Source organism: Homo sapiens, chromosome 22 (assembly GCF_000001405.40).
Source record: "Homo sapiens chromosome 22, GRCh38.p14 Primary Assembly".
NCBI lineage: Eukaryota > Metazoa > Chordata > Mammalia > Primates > Hominidae > Homo > Homo sapiens.
In genome coordinates, this window is record NC_000022.11 from 48379273 (window position 1) to 48398254 (window position 18982).

Genomic DNA, 18982 nt, shown 5'->3' on the forward strand with positions numbered 1-18982 from the left:
TCCTTTCTGTGTCCCTGCATTTCCTCACTTGTCTACCACGAGCATCTTTTTTTCCTGAATCTAAGAAGACATGAAGGATCTAGGTGCCCATGAGGGTTGAGGTCTGAAGCCCTTTGATGGCCATCAGACCAGAGCTCCTGCAGGTGCAGCCACGAAGAGCCTGGGCAGTGACCCTCAGTGCCGGAGGAAGCGTGCAGATAAATGGCTCCCACTGGCCTGAGTCCAGGGTGCCCACAGTAATGCTGGCATCTTGCCCGGGGCTGGCGACCCTCCGTGCCCCCACCATCGGGCACCATTGTCAAGAGCACACCATCGAGACACTTGCTGCTGCTGGGAGCTCCCTCGGTCCACACCAATCCTGAGAATACAGTCAGTGGAGGCCCCTGCGTCCTCTTCCATACATGAGCAGAGGCTTCAGAGACCAGCGGCGGGGGCTTCAGAGGAAGTGGCAGAGTGGAAAGGTGGGCAGAGCCAGCTTGCCCCCTCCCGCAGACTGTCTGCGCAGTCCCAGAGCCCCAGAGCTGGAGCAGGAACTTGGGGCTAGTCAGAGGCTGCATGATAGAAAGGGGCCCAGGCATCCCCTGGGGGCAGAGACCTCATGCAGGTGAACCCCTAAGGCCAACAATGATGGCCCAGCAGGAATTGAGTTTGTGGGACACACCAGATGCCCATCAGGCAGTGGCAGAGCCAAGGGGTGGCCGTGAAGCTGTGCTGATGGAGTGCTTTTCAGTTGGTTTAGAGCAGGAGGTACCAGAAGGAGGGTGGGTGGGAGCAAAGCTATTGTGGCATGGTAGGACCTGGCTTGGTGAACTTGATCAGAAAGGCTAGAGATCTGCTTCTGACCCTGTGGTCCTGTCCACATGGCAGACTAGAAGGGGAAGGGGAGCCCTGTCCTGTAAGCCCCTTGCTGGCTCGGAAGCTTCCAGGCCCTGGGAAGGCCTTGACAGGCCCAGCCCCTCCCAACGAATGAGAGGAGGAGAGATGACAGAGCAGCCAGGGTGTGCGAGGATGCCCACACGCGACGGGAAAGGGGGACCCAGGGTGCGGGAGGCACAGGGCAGGCCCTGGAGTCTGCCTGGGCACCACCGGGAGAAGCTGAACCCCCGGCTCTGGGTCTGGCCTGGGCAGGGGCTGGAGCCGCTCTGCCTTTTGCAGCCTCTGCTCTGCAGAAGCAGGTGTGGGCTGACTCCTGGGGGCCTTGTGCCGCCAATGGGGAGGTCCTCAGGGACACGCGCCTTGGTGTGCTGGGAAAGAGTGAGAATGGGACTGTCTCTGTGACATCTCAGGTGCACTGCCACCTTGGGATAATGCCCACCTGAGAGGAAAGCTGGAGGCAGCCCCACCTCCAGGCTTACAGGCCTGCAGGAGCTGGAAGGGGAGGCCCCAGATGCCCAGGGGTGTGGGAGCCTCACCTGCTCTCTGCAGGGCGCAGGCTCAGGTATGAAGAGGGCCGGAGTGCACACACATGTGCATGGGCTCAGGCTTGAAGGAACAAGCAAAGTAAAAGGAGTTCACTGGAAGCTTAAAAAAGAATGAATCAAAGAAATAAGTCTCATTCCCAATCCCCGCACAACTAATAATCAAGGAAATATCACGTTTCTGTTGTTGTAGAAACAGTCATTTAACAAAATATTTCATGAGTATTGAAATCACTTGCTGTGCATCTCGGGAATCTAATCATTGTGATTAAGCCTAATGAGCATGAGTCACCTGCACAGAAATAAACGGGGGGGCCGATTTCCGGTGAGAAGTGCCTTTGGAACCAAGTCCCTACCTCAGGCTTAGTGCCCCCGTGTTCCCAGTGCAAGGCTGTTGGATGGACAGGTGAAATGCAGATGGAAAAACGCAACTCTTTTCAAAAATGGAGCGGCCAAGAGTGGACGCAGGCTCTCTCTGACAGGCCTTGGTGATGGAAGTCTCACTGTGTAGGGGCTGGAGTTCTCCGAAGACTCTTTCAGTTTCACAAGGAAGCCTCAGGAAAGCAGCCTGATCAGGTCATCCCATGACAAAGAGAAACAATAGCTACAGACAGCAGCAACTTCCTGAGACAACTGACCCAGCATACAACAGACCCAAGGTACAACAGACCCAGGAGACAATCAACCCAGGGTACAACAGACCCAGCAGGCAACAGACCCAGGGGACAACCAACCCAGGAGAGGATCGACCCAGGGGACAATCGACCCAGGGGACAATCGACCCAGGGTACAGCAGACTCAGGATGCAATAGACCCAGGGTACAACAGACCCAGGACACAAGAGACCCAGGGGACAACCAACCCAGGAGACAATCGACCCAGGGTACAACAGACTCAGGATGCGATAGACCCAGGGTACAACAGACCCAGGACACAAGAGACCCAGGGGACAACCAACCCAGGAGACAATCGACCCAGGGTACAACACACTCAGGATGCGATAGACCCAGGGTACAACAGACCCAGGACACAAGAGACCCAGGGGACAACCAACCCAGGAGACAATCGACCCACGGTACAACAGACTCAGGATGCAATAGACCCAGGGTACAACAGACCCAGGACACAAGAGACCCAGGGGACAACCAACCCAGGAGACAATCAACCCAGGGTACCACAGACCCAGGAGACAACAGACCTGGGACACAGCAGAACCAGGATGCAATAGACCCAAGGTTCAACAGACCTAGGAGGCCACCAACCCAGGACTCAATTGACCCAGGTGTCCTTAGATTTTCAAGGACCCAAAAATACAACCATGTTACATCAAACTGTTCTCCAGCCTCAGAGAAACAAGGCATCAACCACAAGTCCAGAAATAGACCAAAGAGCTAAAGCCATTGAATTTGGGTTAAAATCCTGAAGAATGCTGCAAGGTGGGCAAACAAGTTATTCATAATGTTGCCTAATCTTCAACATGTGAAAGAAGGAGTGAGTCGTAGCCACTGCACTAGCTCCTGAAGTGAGTTATTATCAGTAAACGCACCATCGAGCCCCTGTGTGGAACGGACAAACCCCGCTGGCATTCCAGGACTCTGGTTTGGAATGGTGCTGATGCAGATGGGGTGGGAAAGATGTGAAGGGCAAGGGAGCGGCTCGCAAAACTCCCCTTTCAGCTGCCTGCAGGCCCTTCACAGCCCTCAACCTGCGCCGTAAGGGACCCCAGGAATGATCCACAGCTGCCGGCGCTGGCAGCCCTTGCAGCCCAACAACGGAGAAGCTGGCATGCTTGGCTGGAAAGTCAGTGGGCGCCCTTCTCAGTGCCTCTTGAATGTGTTTGAAATAGGAAAGGAATAAATAACTGTCATGTTAGATCCACTCCCATCACAGTGGAAACAATCCATTTCTTACTGGAGCAACCTAATTAGGGGCTGATAAGCTGCACATTCAGGGCGGGTGAACATTTGCTGTAATTCTTTCCAGGAGAAGGGACAGAAGCCAGTGCAGCTTTTATTAAGAGACAAAAATACCAGTATCTTCAAGGAGTCGAGACCCCTCCTGCCTGCGCAGGTGTAGTCACCAAACCCAAACCAGGTCCTATTTATGTAACCTGGGAATGTCGTGTGGCTCTCCCAGTCTACTCAGGATTCGGGAGCAGACGTGAGTACTCACTGCACAACAGTGGAAGTGACTATCAGCCCCTCGCCTTTGGGATGCCATTTGATCATTGATCATTTCCTTTATTTACGAATGTTTTTGTTAATTGAAAACTATGACTGAGCATCCACTGGGACTCATCGCAGGATCTGAGGAATACTTAGCCCTAAATTGAGCCCTGTTCTGGACCTGCCTAACAAAAGCAAGAACCAAAAGGAATAAATAGCTTCCAACTAACTGAACTGAACCTCAAACAAATTTAAGAATATTTATAGCAATACAATATATCCAGAACCTTAGGAGACTAATTTCACACTGGATGCAGTGGCTTATGCCTGTAATCCCAGCACTTTGAGAGGCTGAGGCGGGCAGATCACTTGAGACCAGGAGTTCAAGACCAGCCTGGCCAATATGGTGAAACCCTATCTCTACTAAAAATACAAAAAATTGGCTGGGGGTGGTGGTGTGCGCCTGTAATCCTAGCTACTGGGTAGACTGAGGCATAAGAATCACTTGAACACAGAAGGCAGAGGTTTCAGTGAGCTGAGATCACGCCACTGCTCTCCAGCCTGGGCAACAGAGCAAGACTCCATCTCAAAAAATAAAAACAAAAACAAAAGACTAAATTCACAATTTCTGGCATCCAATAAATCACCAGGCACCCAAAGAATAAAAAAATACAACATTGGGAGATAAATTCATTGAAACGAACTCAGAACTGACCCAGATGTTAGAACACTAAAAAGTTATTATCACTGTATTGCATATGCTCAAAAATTTAAGTAGAGACATGCAAAATACATACACACACATTCAAATCAAACTTCTAGAGATGAAAACTGCAGTGTGTGAGATTAAAAATACCCTGGATGGGGGCTGGGCACAGTGGTTCACACTTGTAATCCCAGCACTTTGAGAGGCCGAGGCGGGTGGATCACGAGGTGAGGAGATCGAGGTCATCCTGGTCAACGTGGTGAAACCCCACCTCTACTAAAAACACAAAAATTAGCTGGGCGTGGTGGCACCCGCCTGTAGTCCCAGCTACTGGGGAGGCTGAGGCAGGAGAATCCCCTGAACCCAGGAAGTGGAAGTTGCAGTGAGCCAAGATGGCACCACTGCACTCCAGCCTGGCAACAGAGCAAGATTCCGTCTCAAAAAAAAAAAAAAAAAAAAAAAATCCCTGGATGGGATTAATAGATTAGAGACATTGCAGAAGAAAAATTCTTCATAATTGCTCAAATTTGGAAGCAGTAAAGATGCCCTTTGGTAGATGAGTAGATAAATAAATTAGTACAATTATAAATAAAATAATATTCCAGACAATGGAATATCATCCAAGATTAAAAAGAAATGAGCTATGAAGCCATGAAAAGACACGGAGGCAACTTAAATGCATATTACTAAGTAAAAAAAAAAAGGTCAATCTGGAAAGGCTACATACAGTCTATGTATAACATACTGTATGACATTCTGGAAAAGGCAAAGTTATGGAAGCAGTGAAAATACTTTTTAACTGCCGAGGGTTAGTGGGGATGGAGGGATGAACAGGTGGAGCACTGAGGACTTGAGGGACAATGAAGATACTCTATATGATACTATAATGGTGGGTGCATGTCCCTATGTATTTGTCAAAACCCATATAACTGCGCTACATAAAGAGTGAAACCTAAACTGTGGGCTCTGGGTAATCATGGTTTGTCAATGTAGGCTCATCAGTGGTAACACATGTACCATTCCAGTGGATGATGTTGACAGTGGGGGAGGCTGTGCATGTGTGGGGGCAGGGGGTATATGGCAAATCTCTGTCCTTTCATCTTGATTTTGCTGTGAACCTAAAACTGCTCTGAAAAAGTAAAGTCTTTTTTAAAAAGTCAACCTAGAATTCTATAGTCAACAAAAGTATCTTTCAAAAATAAAGGCAAAGTACTTTTTCCAGCACTCAAAAGCTGAAAGCACTCATTACAAGCAGACCTGCAGTGGAAAAGTGTTCAAGGAAATCCTTTAAGAACGAGGAAAATGATGCCAGATATAAAAACATAAATCTACACAAAGAAGAACAAGCAGAAATGGTAACTGCACAGGTAAGTATTTTAAAATTTATTCTTATTGTTTAACTGTTTTTAAAGATAATTACTTAAACAAAAGCATGTAATGCAGGGGTCATAACATGTGTAAGCAAAATGTATGACAACCATACCATCAAGGCAGGTAGTGGAGAAATTCAAGTATACTGTTACAAGGTTTTATACTATACATGATATGGCATATTGTTTGAAAATAGACTGTGGTAAGTTAATGATATATACTATAAGCCCTGAAGCAACCACTAATATAACAATAAAAGAGCTATATATAATAAGCCAGCAAAGGAGATAGTCACCAACAATATCCACAAGTTATCTTTAAAAGGTAGGAAAAAATTAAAAATGGAAAAAGAAAAAAATGCCAACATTAAAAACAGACAGCAAAAGCATAGACTCAACCTAACAATATAATCACAATAAATGTAAATGGTCTAAACACTCTCATTAAAAAACACAGATTGCCAGATCTATATAAAAAGGACTCAAATATACACAGATGGCAAGAAACATACTGTAAATATGGAGACAAAAAAAAAATAAAAGAAAAGAAACAAGCTATGCCATTTACATTAATCAGCTTTGGCTGCCATAGCAAAATATTCTAGACTGAGTGGCTCAAACAACAGAGATGTATTTTCTGACAGTTCTGGACGTTAGAAGTCCCAGATTAAGGTCCTGGACAATTTGATTCCTGATGAGGGTTCTCTTGAAGATTATCTCTTTCTTCTGCATCCTCACATGGCCTCTCCTCTATATAGGTGTGGAGAGAGAACATTCTGATATCTTTTACTCTTTTTACAAGGATAACAGCTTTATCAGATTAAGACTTCCACCCTTATTACCTCACTTAACCTTCATTACTTCCTTGTAGATCTTATTTCCAAATACAGTCACATCATGGGTTAGAGCTTCAACCTATAAATTTGAGGGTGGAAAAAAGACATAATTAAGGCCATAAAACTACCCTAACATTGGACATAAGAAAGCTATAGTGGTTATATTAATATTACACAATGTACATTTTAAAGCAAGGAAAATTACAGGAAGAAATAAGACTACGCCATGAAGATAAAGCAGTCAATCAAGAGAACATAGCAATTCTAAACATTTATGCACCTACTAAGGAGGTGAAAAATCTCTACAAGGAGAACTATAAAACACTGTTGAAGGAAGTCAAAGTCAGATTTCCACAAATCTGTGGAAAAACATTCCATTCTCACAAATCGGAAGAACCAATATTATTTAAATGGCCATACTGCCCAAAGCAATTTACAGAGTCAATGCTATTTTTATCATACTACTAACATCATTTTTCACAGGATTATTTTTAAAACTCTAAAATTTGTATAGAACCAAAAAAAAATAAGCCTGAATAGCCAAAGCAATCCTAAACAAAAAGAACAAGCTGGAAGCATCACACTACCTGACTTCAAACTATACTATAAGGATACAGCAACCAAGACAGCATGGCATTGGTACAACAACAGACACATAAACCAACTGAAAAAAATGTAGAACTCAGAAATAAAGCCACACACCTATAACCATCTGATCTTTAGCAAAGCTGACAAAAACAAGGAGAAGGGAAAGAAATCCCTATTCAATAAATGGCGCTGGGATAACTGGCTGGCCATATACAGAAGAATGAAAGTGAGCCCCTACCTTTCACCATATGCAAAAATTAACTCAAAATGGATTAAAGATTTAAATGTAAGAGACTCAAAGTGTAAAGAAATTCTAGAAAACTTAGAAAATACCTTTACTGACATTAGCCTTAGCAAAGAATTTTTGCCCAACTCCTCAAAAGCAATTGCAACAAAAGCAAAAATTAAGAAGTGGGACCTAATTAAACTAAATAGCTTCTGCACAGCAAATAAACTATTAACAGAGTAAATAGACAACCTACAGAATGGGGAAAATATTTGCAAACTATGCATCCAACAAAAGTCTAATATACAGAATCTATAAGGAACTTAAACAAGTCAATACACAAAAAACACATAACCCTGTTAAAAATGGGCAAAGGACTTGCACTCCTCAAAAGAAGATATACAAGCAGCCAACAAACATGAAAAAATGTTTATCATAACGAATCATCAAAGAAATGCAAATCAAAATTATAATGAGATACCATCTGTCACCAGTCAGAATGGCTATTACTAAAAAGTCAAATAATAACAGATGCTAGTGAGGCTGCAGAGAAAAGGGAACTCTTATACACTGTTGGTGGGAAAGTAAATTAGTTCAGCCACTGTGGAAAGCAGTTTGGAGATATCTCAAAGAAATCTCAAAGAACTTAAAACAGAGCTACCACTCAACCCAGCAATCTCATTACTGGATATATACCCAAAAGAAAATAAAATCATTTTACCAAAAAGATGCATGTAGTCATAGGTTCATTGCAGCACTATTCATAATAGCAAAGACTTGAAATCAACCTAGATGCTCATCAACAGTGGACTGGATAAAGAAAATGGGGTACATGTATGCCATGGAATACTATGCAGTCATAAAAAAGAATAAAGTCATGTCCTTTGCAGTCACATGGATGAAGCTGGAGGCTATAATCTTAAGTGAATTAACACAGGAGCAGAAAACCATGGCTGGGTGCGGTGTGCTCACACTTGCAATCCTAGCACTTTGGGAGGCCGAGGTGGGTGGATCACCTGAGGTCAGGAGTTCAAGACCAGCCTGGCCAACCTCGTCTCTACTGGTGAAACCTTGTCTCTACTAAAAATATGAAAATTAGCTGGGCATGGTGGTGCACAACTGTAATCCCAGCTACTCGGGAGGCTGAGGCAGGAGAATCACTTGAACCTGGAAGGCGGAGGTTGCAGTAAGCTGAGATTGCACCACTGCACTCCAGCCTGGGTGACAGAATGAGACTCTTTCTCAAAAAAAAAAAAAAAAAAGAAAGAAAGAAAGAAAGAAAGAAAGGAAGAAAGAAGAAAACCAAATACTGCAAGTCCTCACTTATAAGTGGGAGCTAAACTTTGAGAACACATGGACATAAGTGGGAACAATAGACACCACAGACTCCTAGCAGGGAAGGGAGGGAGGGGGACTTGGGTTGAAAAACTACCTATTGAGTGCTATGCTCACCACCTGGGTGAAAGGATCTGTACCACAAACCTCAGCATCACACAACATAGCCATGTAACAAACCTGAACATGTACCTCCATATCTAGAATATCTAACGTTGAAATTATACAAAACAGATAAATAATAAAATAAGCAAATTTTTATTTTTTGTGAAAATAATAATTGTGAAAAAGTGAAAGAAGAAAGATAAAAAATACAAGAAGCAAAGGCTCAAAGAACCAAAAGGAAAAATAGAAAAACAGACAATTACAGTTGGAGATTTCAATACCATTCTCTCCATAACTGACAGAACAAATAGACAAAAAATTCAGTAAGGATATAGATGTGAACAACACCACGAGAGGAACTTGACCTGGTAGATGCTTGCAGTACATTCTACCCAACAACGAGAGAACACACATTCCTCTCACCAGCATTTATAAGGATAGACCATATTCTGGGCCATAAAATAGGTCTTGATAAATTGAAAAGCATTCAACTCATACAAAATTTGTCCTCTCACCATAATAAAACTAAATTAGAAATCAACAGCCAAAAGATATCTGGAAAATTCAAACATTTGGAAACTGAGTAACACATTCCTAAATAACCCTTAGGTCAAGAAGGAATCAAAGTGGGGAATAAGAAAGTATTTTGAATTGAATAAAAATGAAAACCCAACATATAAACATCTGTTGGGTGCCTCTAAAGCAGTCCTTGGAAAGGCACATAAAATACTAAATACCTATATTAGAGAAGAAGAAAGGTTTGAAGTGAATGACCTTAACTTCCACCTTAAGAAACTGGGAGGAGCCGGGCGTGGTGGCTCACACCTGTAATCCTAGCACTTTGGGAGGCCAAGGTGGGTGGATCACTTGAAGTCAAGAGTTCAAGACCAGCCTGTCCAATATGATGAAACCCCATCTCTACTAAAAATAAAAATAAAAATTAGCCCAGCAGGGGTGGTGCATGCCTGTAATCCCAGCTATGCAGGAGGCTGAGGCAGAAGAAAGGCTTGAACTCAGGAGGCGGAGGTTGCAGTGAGCCAATATCACAGCACTGCACTCCAGCCTTGGTGATGCAGCGAGACTCTGTCTCAAAACAAAAAAAAAAAAAGCAACTGGGAAGGGGGAAAAGGTAAATTAAACCCAACATACGCAGAAGGAAGTAAATAATGAGTATTACAGCCTATATCATAGAAATAGGACACAGGAAAAATATAACAATTACTGACACTAAAAGATAGTCTTTGCAAAGATGAATAACATCGGTAGACCTCTAGGGAGATTGATCAGGAAAAACGTAGCAGCGATGCCATCAAGGAAGAAAGGCGATGTCACTAGAGACTCTGCAGGAAGACACATTATCCCAGGTGGCACACCGTGCTGATCCCACGCATCTATGCTGTAAAGGACAAATGACTCCCTTGACCTGAGGAGCATGGTGTCCCAATGGAGGCTGTGGCAGAGTGTCACTGTGTTCCTACCTGGGTCCTCTGGGTCCTCTTCCTGGGCACAGAGGAAAACCAGTCTTCCTTGTAGTTAGACGTGGGTCATAAACTGAGTTCTGGCCCAGGGAATGCAGGCAGAAGCGAGGTAAAGCACCACAAGCCCTGATCCTTACAAGCATCCTTCCACGGTGCCCTCGTCCCTGCTCTACCGTTAGAAGCACGAGATAGAAGGAGGTGTCATGAACTGAATGTTTGTGCCTCACAAAAGTCCCAGGTTGAAACTCCCAACTCCCAATGTGTCTGTATTTCAAGAAGTAACTAAGGCTCCGTGAGGTCGTAAGGGTAGGGCCCCGATCTTATGGATCCCTGTAAGGAGAGACCACAGGGAGCTTAGTGCCCATGTCCCCTCTCTCCTCATCATGGAAGGAGGCAGAGAGAAGGTGGCATCTGCCAACCAGGAAGAGGACCCTCCCCAGGAGCTGGACTGACCGGCACCCTGATCCTGGACTTATCAGCCTCTAGAATTGTGAGAAAATGCGTTTTTGTTCTTTAAGCCGCCCTGCCTATCGTGTCGTGCTATGGCAGCCAGGCCTGACCACTGTGGACAGTGTTCATGGTGATTCAGAGAGGAGTGGCTGGGGGCGCACCCAACTGGAAATGGACTTTAACCCCCATCAGACAGAACTGCACTGGCCTGTGGAATGAGGAGAAATCAGCCTGTTTCGGTCAAGCTCCAGAGATGTGGGGATTATTGTTTTGGCAGCGAGAGGCATTTCCCTGACTCATGGAGAAATTGGTACTTACCTTGGGTGTTTCCATTAAATAAGGAGGGAGGTGAGATCAGCTTCAAGGTCAGGCTGCCGTCTGGTAGGAACCCGATGTAGGAGTCCATTTTCACACTGCTGATAAAGACGTGCCTGAGACTGGGTAATTTATAAAGAGAAAGAGGTTCAATGGACTCACAGTTCCACATGGCTGGAGAAGCCTCACAATCATGGTGGAAGGTGAAAGGCACATCTTACATAGGGGCAGGTGAGAGAGAATGAGAGCTAAGGGAAAGGGGAAACCCCTTATAAAGCCATCAGATCTCGTGAGACTTATTCACTACCACGAGAACAGTATGGGGGTAACAGCCTGCATGATTCAATTATCTCCCACCAGGTCCCCTCCACAACGCATAGGGATTATGGGAGCTACAATTCAAGATGAGATTTGGGTGGGGACACAGCCAAACCCTATCACCTGATTATCAGAAACTAAAAATATGTTAATGTGAACCAAGCAGAGGACACACATCTTGGAACTGTAACCTTCTCTCCACATTCAGTCAGTCCACGTGCCCACTGAGTCCGTATTTCCAGAGAAGGAGGTTGGAAAATCATGTGAATGGTGAGTGCTGGCAATTTGGCAGCATGTGGCAAGAGGTTGCAAGAAAGAGGTGGCCTCAGGAAAGCAATCAATGAGAAGAGAGAGATCCCTGAAGTTCTGGCATTTGCAGAGTTTGAAAGCTGTACTGCCTGCATCTAGAGGTAGAATTTTCAAAACCTGAGCTACAAATATCAAGCCAAAGTTATTTTTTTTCCTCCAAAGTAATTAAGTCAGTCAGGGAGAGGTGAGAGTAAGTGGCATCCACAAACAAGTATACGAGTGAGATAAAATGACTCAGGCTGAAGATAAGATGAAGGTCGCGGCTTTCTCCCTTGTCATCCCAAATACACCATGAGATTCACCATGGAGCGGAGATGGACGGAGTTTGGAAGACCCAGGAGCTGTCTGGAGGACAGCCAAGGAGTCTCCATGCTCCCAGCGGGCGAATCTCCTTACTCCTCAGGAGAGAAAGAAACTGTTACTGTTGCTAAGCTGCTGGGATTTGGGAATTGTTTGTTAAAGCAACGAGCAAGTGTTACTCTGGAAAAGATGGAAGCAGAGGAGGGTGAGAGGCAGAAACAGGGGCCAGGAGTAGGCGCAGGATCCGTGCAACAGCGCGGCGGATCGGCCTTGGGTGGCTGAGAAAGAGGTTCCCTGGTGAAGAGGAGATGAGGTATAAACGAACACCCAGGGACCACATGCTGTGTGCCAGGAACTGTGTCCCTGGCAACAGTGGATCAACGCACTGCAGGGAAGGCCCTGGGGGTGGGTGCGGAGCCCGCTGTGATGGTTTCTAAGTGCAGGCTTGCTAGTTGGGATTGAGTAATATAACCCAACTCATCGGCTTTCCATTGTACCAAGATAGAAATGATGGGCTGGGTCCACCTTCTCTCGTCACTTGAGCAGGTATAATCTGAAACAATAAATAGAATTTTTAATATCATAGATTTTATTTTAGAATAGATTTATGGAAACATTGAAAAGATAGCACAGAATGTTCCCCTACTCCCTGCAGCCGAAATCCCCTGCTGTTAGCCAGATGAGTCCTGAGGGCTCTGGGCAGCTGAGAAGGTGGACAGTGTGGGGCTGTGTTTACAGGAGAGCTAGAGAGCAATTGCAGAGAATACTCACACTTAGAGTCAGGAGGAGAAGAGGGGAGGGACCAAGGAGACAAGCAGGGAGGGGATCTTAAAGTAGAGCCCACAGCCAGAAGTCAGAAAGCTGGAAACACTCGGGCATAAGAAACAAAGAGCCAAGGATGAATTTTAGTAGCATTTCGGTTTGTAAATGTGGGCAGGAGGAACTAGCATCAGAAGAGGACGCAGGTGCACAGACCTGCTGGGCCAGGTTAAGGGGGTGGCCAGGAAAAGAGGGGAGAAGGGACGTTCTGAGGGCCGTTTTCCACGTAAAATTCATTCATCTTCTCATTCATTCATTCACTCGGTGTCTATGGGAAACTCGGCTGTTTCACGCACATTCTGGGGTCACCATGTTTCTTTCACTTAACAAATATGGGAGGCTTTGCATGTCAGAATGAAGAATCCTTGACCTTCGTTTAATTGATAATGGGTCAAATGAAGGTTTCCAGGTAAAGGAGTGATAAAGCAGAATAAATCGCCTGGAAAGCAAGCTCCCAGCAACAAGGAACAATCACACAGCCTCCGTTCCTATGGTGTCCGCGCATCACGTCTGGCCTCGCCATTAGGGAGGATTTATTTATTTATTTATTTATTTATTTATTTATTTATTTATTTATTGAGACGGAGTCTTGCTCTGTCGCCCAGGCTGGAGTGCAGTGGCTCAATCCCGGCTAACTGCAAGCTCCGCCTCCATTAGGGAGGATTTAATAAGTACTTGGCCCATCCATGGATTATCCAAGTCTTGGCGTGAAAGGGTAGATGCAGGTTGGGAGTGTGGGAAGCGTGGACCAGGCATGAGGAGCCCCTCAGGAAGCTGTGAGGTAACCCAGGAGGGCGGAAGATCCGCCTGGAGCAGGTGCCCTGAGGATGCAGGAGACGGGACCCCAGCCCAGGCTGCTCCTGTCCAGGGCTCTCGGATGTTTCAAGGCTGTGCTCCCCAGAGACACTGATGGGTGGAGGAGGGAGGACAGGAAGAGGAGGAAGCCAAGCAAGGGTGCAATTTCAGGAGAAATTTCACGGGATGCAGGTTCAGCCGAAGCCTTCGAGGGATTTCTGGAGTACGCCTCAGAGATGTCCTGAGTCAGCTGAGGAGCTGGGAGTTCCTGCCCCACCCCAGCTAAGCGCACCCCGGGGGAGGGGCAGGATGCCAACTCCCAGACATCTCCAGCCCTTTGTGTGGGCAGACGATGCAGTGCCAGGGGCCAGGGCAGTCCCCCGGAGAAGGGCCGAGTGTCCGCCACAGCGAGGGGGAGGAAAGAGCACCCGTGTTGGAACAGAAAGGGGCTGGACAGGATCCAGGCAGAACCTGATAGTGTCGGCAACAATATGCATGCGCGGGACTGATGGACCGTGAAGGAGAGGCGTGGAAGGCAGAGCCAGGATCTGGAGCCTGGAGGCTGGGAGATGATATTAATGGGCAATGGAAGATGCGGCTGGAGAAAGACGACATTCGGGGCAAGATAACAAGTCCGACTTGGGAGAAAACCACCCACCTCTGTCCTATAAATTAGGCATAAACGAGGTATTTATGGAATGCCTACTGGCTCCTGGCACCCAGAAAAACAATTTTTTTTTTGAGACGGAGTCTCGCTCTGTTGCTCAAGCTAGAGTGCAGTGGCATGATCTCGGTTCGCTGCAACCTCCACCTCCCAGGTTCAAGTGATTCTCCTGCCTCAGCCTCCCAAGTAGCTGGGACTACAGGTGCACGCCACAATGCCCGGCTAATTTTTTTTTTTTTTTTTTTTTGGTATTGTTAGAGGCTGGTCTAGGAGTTCCACGCTGGTCTCGAACTCCTGATCTCAGGTGATCTGCCTGCCTCAGCCTCCCAAAGTGCTGGGATTCCAGGCGTCACCCACCGTGCCTGACCCGGAAAAGCGATTTCTATCACAACCCCATTTACTGTTCATGTCAACCCTATTGGGGAGGATGAGAAAATAGGACTTGAGTTTACATATTTTACTCAAGTTCAGAAAAGGTAGCAAACGATGAGGCTGAGATTCTAACCCAGGCCCAATTAATTCCGAAGCAGGAGCTCCTAAACACTATGCAGTGTGCGTATTTATAGATTTTAAAATCAGTCGGCCCATCTGGCTTCCCCTTTCTGGGCCCATGGTCTTCTGCGGCTTCTCTCTGGGTGCACACTTCTTCTTGGCATGGAAGGAGGCTTGGTCTTGACTCAGGGATTGGGAACGACGGACCCCTTTTTGTCGAAAAGCCCAGTGCTGCCCTGGCTCCGGCACCAGACACCCATTGGCTAGTTTACGATCTATTTTACTGTGATCATTTCCATGGCCAAGTGTCCAAAGCCAGAAAGGTTTTTGCGTCATAGTTTTGGAATATAAAATCAAAGAATGGCTGGAATATAATCATCAGAGTCCACGGCTAACCCGTTCTCTCTTTCTCAGAGGAAGGGTCTCCACTGGGCTCTGTCCTGGGGCAATCGGAAGCTCATCACGGGGCTTCTGGCTCCCATAGCATCCTGGTTTTCTGTTGCTTTTATTCTGCTTTTTTTTTCCCAAAAAAAGTGAGTGTCCCCTTTTCAGATAGAATTTCAATAGAGGGATACAGAGGAGGTATTGGAGGGAGCTGGGCAATTCTCTTCTCTGTGATCTACCTCCCTGTTTAGCACAAATAATTTTAGCTTGCTGTGAAAACTTGGTCTTCTAACTCAATAAAGAACCTGTTTTCCATATTTAAAGTATTTTTATTTTCAGGCTTCAGGCAAAAAAGGTTTCTCTTGGCTATTTGATATTTTTCCCACATTTCTGCTTCCACAGGGGCCAGGCCAGCGAAGCCGGCCTCAGCGTGGCAGCATCCCACAGAGGCAGGTACAGCCACACCTGATGCTTTCATACACTCCGCACTGTCAGAACTCACATTCCTAATCCCAGAGTTCCGCAGGGCCACCAGGATTCCCCTTCCCCCAGCCGGCCAGCCTCCCCTAACCTCCTCCAGGCTGCCTTGGTGGAGTCCACTCCTGGCTGTGGGCCTGGCATCTGACTCCCGGTGCCAGGCTCTGTGCCCCTGTGGCTCTTTGATTGCAGGCAGCAGGGTGTGGCTATGTAGCATCAGCAGGAGGCATCCTGGGCAGCTCAGACCCGGAGGGCTGTCCGGAGAGCCAGGTGAGGAGACAGGCAGGGGCCAGGCAGCTCGGGAGTCCGGGAAGCAGAAAGTGCCTGATGAAAACCCTCAGCAGCCCCCACATAGGGAGCAAAAAGTGACAGGCACCACTTTGCATCGTCACACTTCTGCACCCAGGATGAAAAGGCCCGAGGCAGCAGCTGCATTTGGAGAGGGCGAAGCATGATGCCACATGCTCCAGAGAAGACAGTGTCCAGGGTAATAAGGAACCGATGTTACCAGGAGGAGAGGGGTCACACAGTGTGTGGCTGAAGAGCCACAGCTGTCACGACAGAGCCAGGCCAGGTCCATCTGCCGCGGCTGTGCCCGTGTGCGAGCCCGTGACTAGTGGCGGATTCAACCCTGCTGCCCAAGTATACCAGCTGCTCTTCTCTCTCTGCTTGCCTTTCCCAGCCCCTGTGCACACACATGCACACACATGCGTGCACACACACGCATGCACACACATGCACAGTCCTTGTCCCCACACACAGTTTTCCTCACCTGCAAACACTGCGTGTGTGCAATTGTACCCCATAAACATTGTATGTGGTTATGTACTTTGCTTTGTAATTATGATTTTGAATGCCTCATAATATTCCTTCAAATGAGGAACCGTTCTTCACTAGATCAGCTCTCCACAGAGGGGTATTTGATCCAGGTTTTCACCGTGTGAAGAACTCTGCATTGAAAACACTGCTTTCTACCTGTGGCCTCGTCCTTCAAGGATGAGCTCCTTGGGGCCAATTCCTCAGGCCGGGATTACTTGGCAGTTGGTAGAGCCATGTTTGTGTTCTCTGATGATACTCATAAATATTAAATCCAATAGCCATGGTGTGCCAGGGACTTTTCCAACACTGGCTCTTCCACTGGAATTTCAGCTCCTCAGGGTAGGGCTGGGTGTTCTGCTCATGGCTGTGTCCCCAACCCCTAGAACAGAACGACTCTCAGGAGGCACTGGAAAGGTTTGTTGAATGAATACCGTAATGAATAGCAGCCTGCCATTTCCAGCTGAGGACTCAGGCTCAGAGAGGCCTGAGGGGCCATCTGACATCATGTGACTGTAAGTGCTGCAGCCAAGCCTGGTCCCCAAACATCTATCTTCCCCCTGGGCACACGTCGCCCTGCTTTCTGAAGATGTGGGGGGTTAGGTGAGCTCACAGCCTCCCGTACAGCCTGACTGTAAGGAGGCCCCCTCTACACCCCCCGACACCTGTGATGGATGCCCATGCCCAGGCAGACCTGCATTTGGGGGACATATGGGGAAGAAGGGAGGCCCAGGCGAACGTGTGGGGACCTGAGCTCATCCATCACCAGGAAAGTCAAGGGCACGAGGCAGCCCCAGTTCCCGCTGGCTGGATCCTGCGGGCTGCAGCTCCATCCCAAGGGACCTGGCACGGGGAGAAACAAAGTTCAGGGTGCATTCCAGAAGGATCCACAGGGCTCAGCAGACAGTGCTGGGAGTGGGGAGCAGCCAGATGTACGGACGCCTCCCCTTCCCCACCCCACTCTGGCCGCTGGACGTACAGAACCCGGAAAATGCAGCCCCTGTGATGTAGTTATACCAGCCTTCCCTGGCCAGACCCCTGGCTTCCAGCCTGCCCCGGTCACAGCCAAGTTCACCCTTACAGGAGACAGCGGCCGACCCCGGAGCCCTTGGTAAAGCAAAACAAGCCAATGAAACAGACGTCTGGGTTTTCAGGACATCCATGTATCATCAGCGTGTTCTCCCCCAGCTCTCAAAGGAAGTGCCGACCACAGCTAATGAGGCCAATGATTGTATTCGGAAGGTGGAGTCACGCACAAACGGAGAGAAGCAGAGGCCACCGCTGCAGGGCCCGAGGGGTGGCTCCCAGGCCCAGGCAGAGCCGGCAGGAAGCGTGGCCCCGTCACCATCACAGCATTCAGGCGAGATTGTGCAATGGTGTGCAATGGAACTTGGACTCTGACCGAGAACGGGGCAGGGAATCCACATCTGATCCTGGGGGTCACCTTTTTCAGTTGGGATTTGGGGCAGAGGCCACTTTGCTTCCTGAGCCTGAGGGAAAAGGAGCCTCCAGCGCTGCTCCTGTCCCCGGTGAGAAAGCAGCAGGAAGGGAAGGGCCCCCTGCGCTTGGGTGGTGGGAGCCCAGGGCAGGCGGCAAGTCTCACCCTCCCTTTCAGCAAACCTGCCCAACAGCAAGTAAGACACCCACCGCGAGCTGGAAGAACCCGCCTGAAGTCACACCATAGGAAAGGGCCCTGGTCTCAGACAGAGCTTCTGTTCCTGAGGTCCCCTGCCTGCCGGGCGACGCTTGCTGCAGCCCGGGAAGCGCGTCTTCCATTGCTCTGTGCTGAGCACAGCCGCGGTGCGGGGCCTGGGTTGGGCCTGTCTGCCACGCCTGCTCATACCCCAGCCCTGCGCTGGAGCCAGGGTCCACAGGGAGAAGGGGAAGCACAGGGCACCCCAAGCATGTCGCTGGATACTCAGGCTTCAGAGCCCTCTAACTTTCTCAGAGACAGGAAATGGGACTCGGAGAAGTCCCAGTGCCACCTGTGAGTGACGTGGCCGTGCAGAGCTGGGGTGAGAGCCCCACCAGCTGTTTTCTGGGCTCCTGTCTGCACCCGTCACAGCACAGCTCCTGTTGGGATAGGAATCTCTGAGGAAAAAGCATGAGACCTGGAACAAATGCTCCAGAAGACACCCCCAAAATTGTGCGGAGTCATTCAGAACCATATCCCTGATCCTGCTGTCACCGGCAACGCCTCCCTCCTTCCTTAAGTTGGCCACCTCCCCGGCAGCTGTACAGCTTCTTCGTTCTCCAGTTGGAGAGCACAAGGGCATGCTCAGACATGCACACGTGTACGGGAACACACACCTGCACCCTCGCAGCACACACACATGCACACTCATATGTACACACATGTGCACACACACTCACACATGCGCACCCTCATATGCACCCACAGCTCTGCTCCTGAGCCCCCTGCCTTTCCATGTCACCAGCTTGCCTCCCCCTCGGACTGACTTCCATCACACCCGCCACTCCTTGCTTGCATGAAGTCTGAGCTCCAACCCAGAGCCTTCTTCTTTCTGCCTCAAGCCCTGCATTAGTGGTAGGTCTGGAGCAGCTATGTGAAAGCCCACTACAGAGGCACAAACTAGTGGTCCCTTGACTTTCTTG

At 48.0% G+C, this 18982-nt stretch overlaps 1 annotated feature.

Annotated features, from left to right (window-relative positions):
- Nucleotides 17648–18640: an enhancer, noted in NCBI's record as "H3K4me1 hESC enhancer chr22:48792732-48793724 (GRCh37/hg19 assembly coordinates)". NCBI's record gives its function as "activates a minimal SCP1, AML or CMV promoter by ChIP-STARR-seq in naive H9 embryonic stem cells {active_cell/tissue: H9 hESC(naive)}" and the evidence as "EXISTENCE:reporter gene assay evidence [ECO:0000049][PMID:30033119]".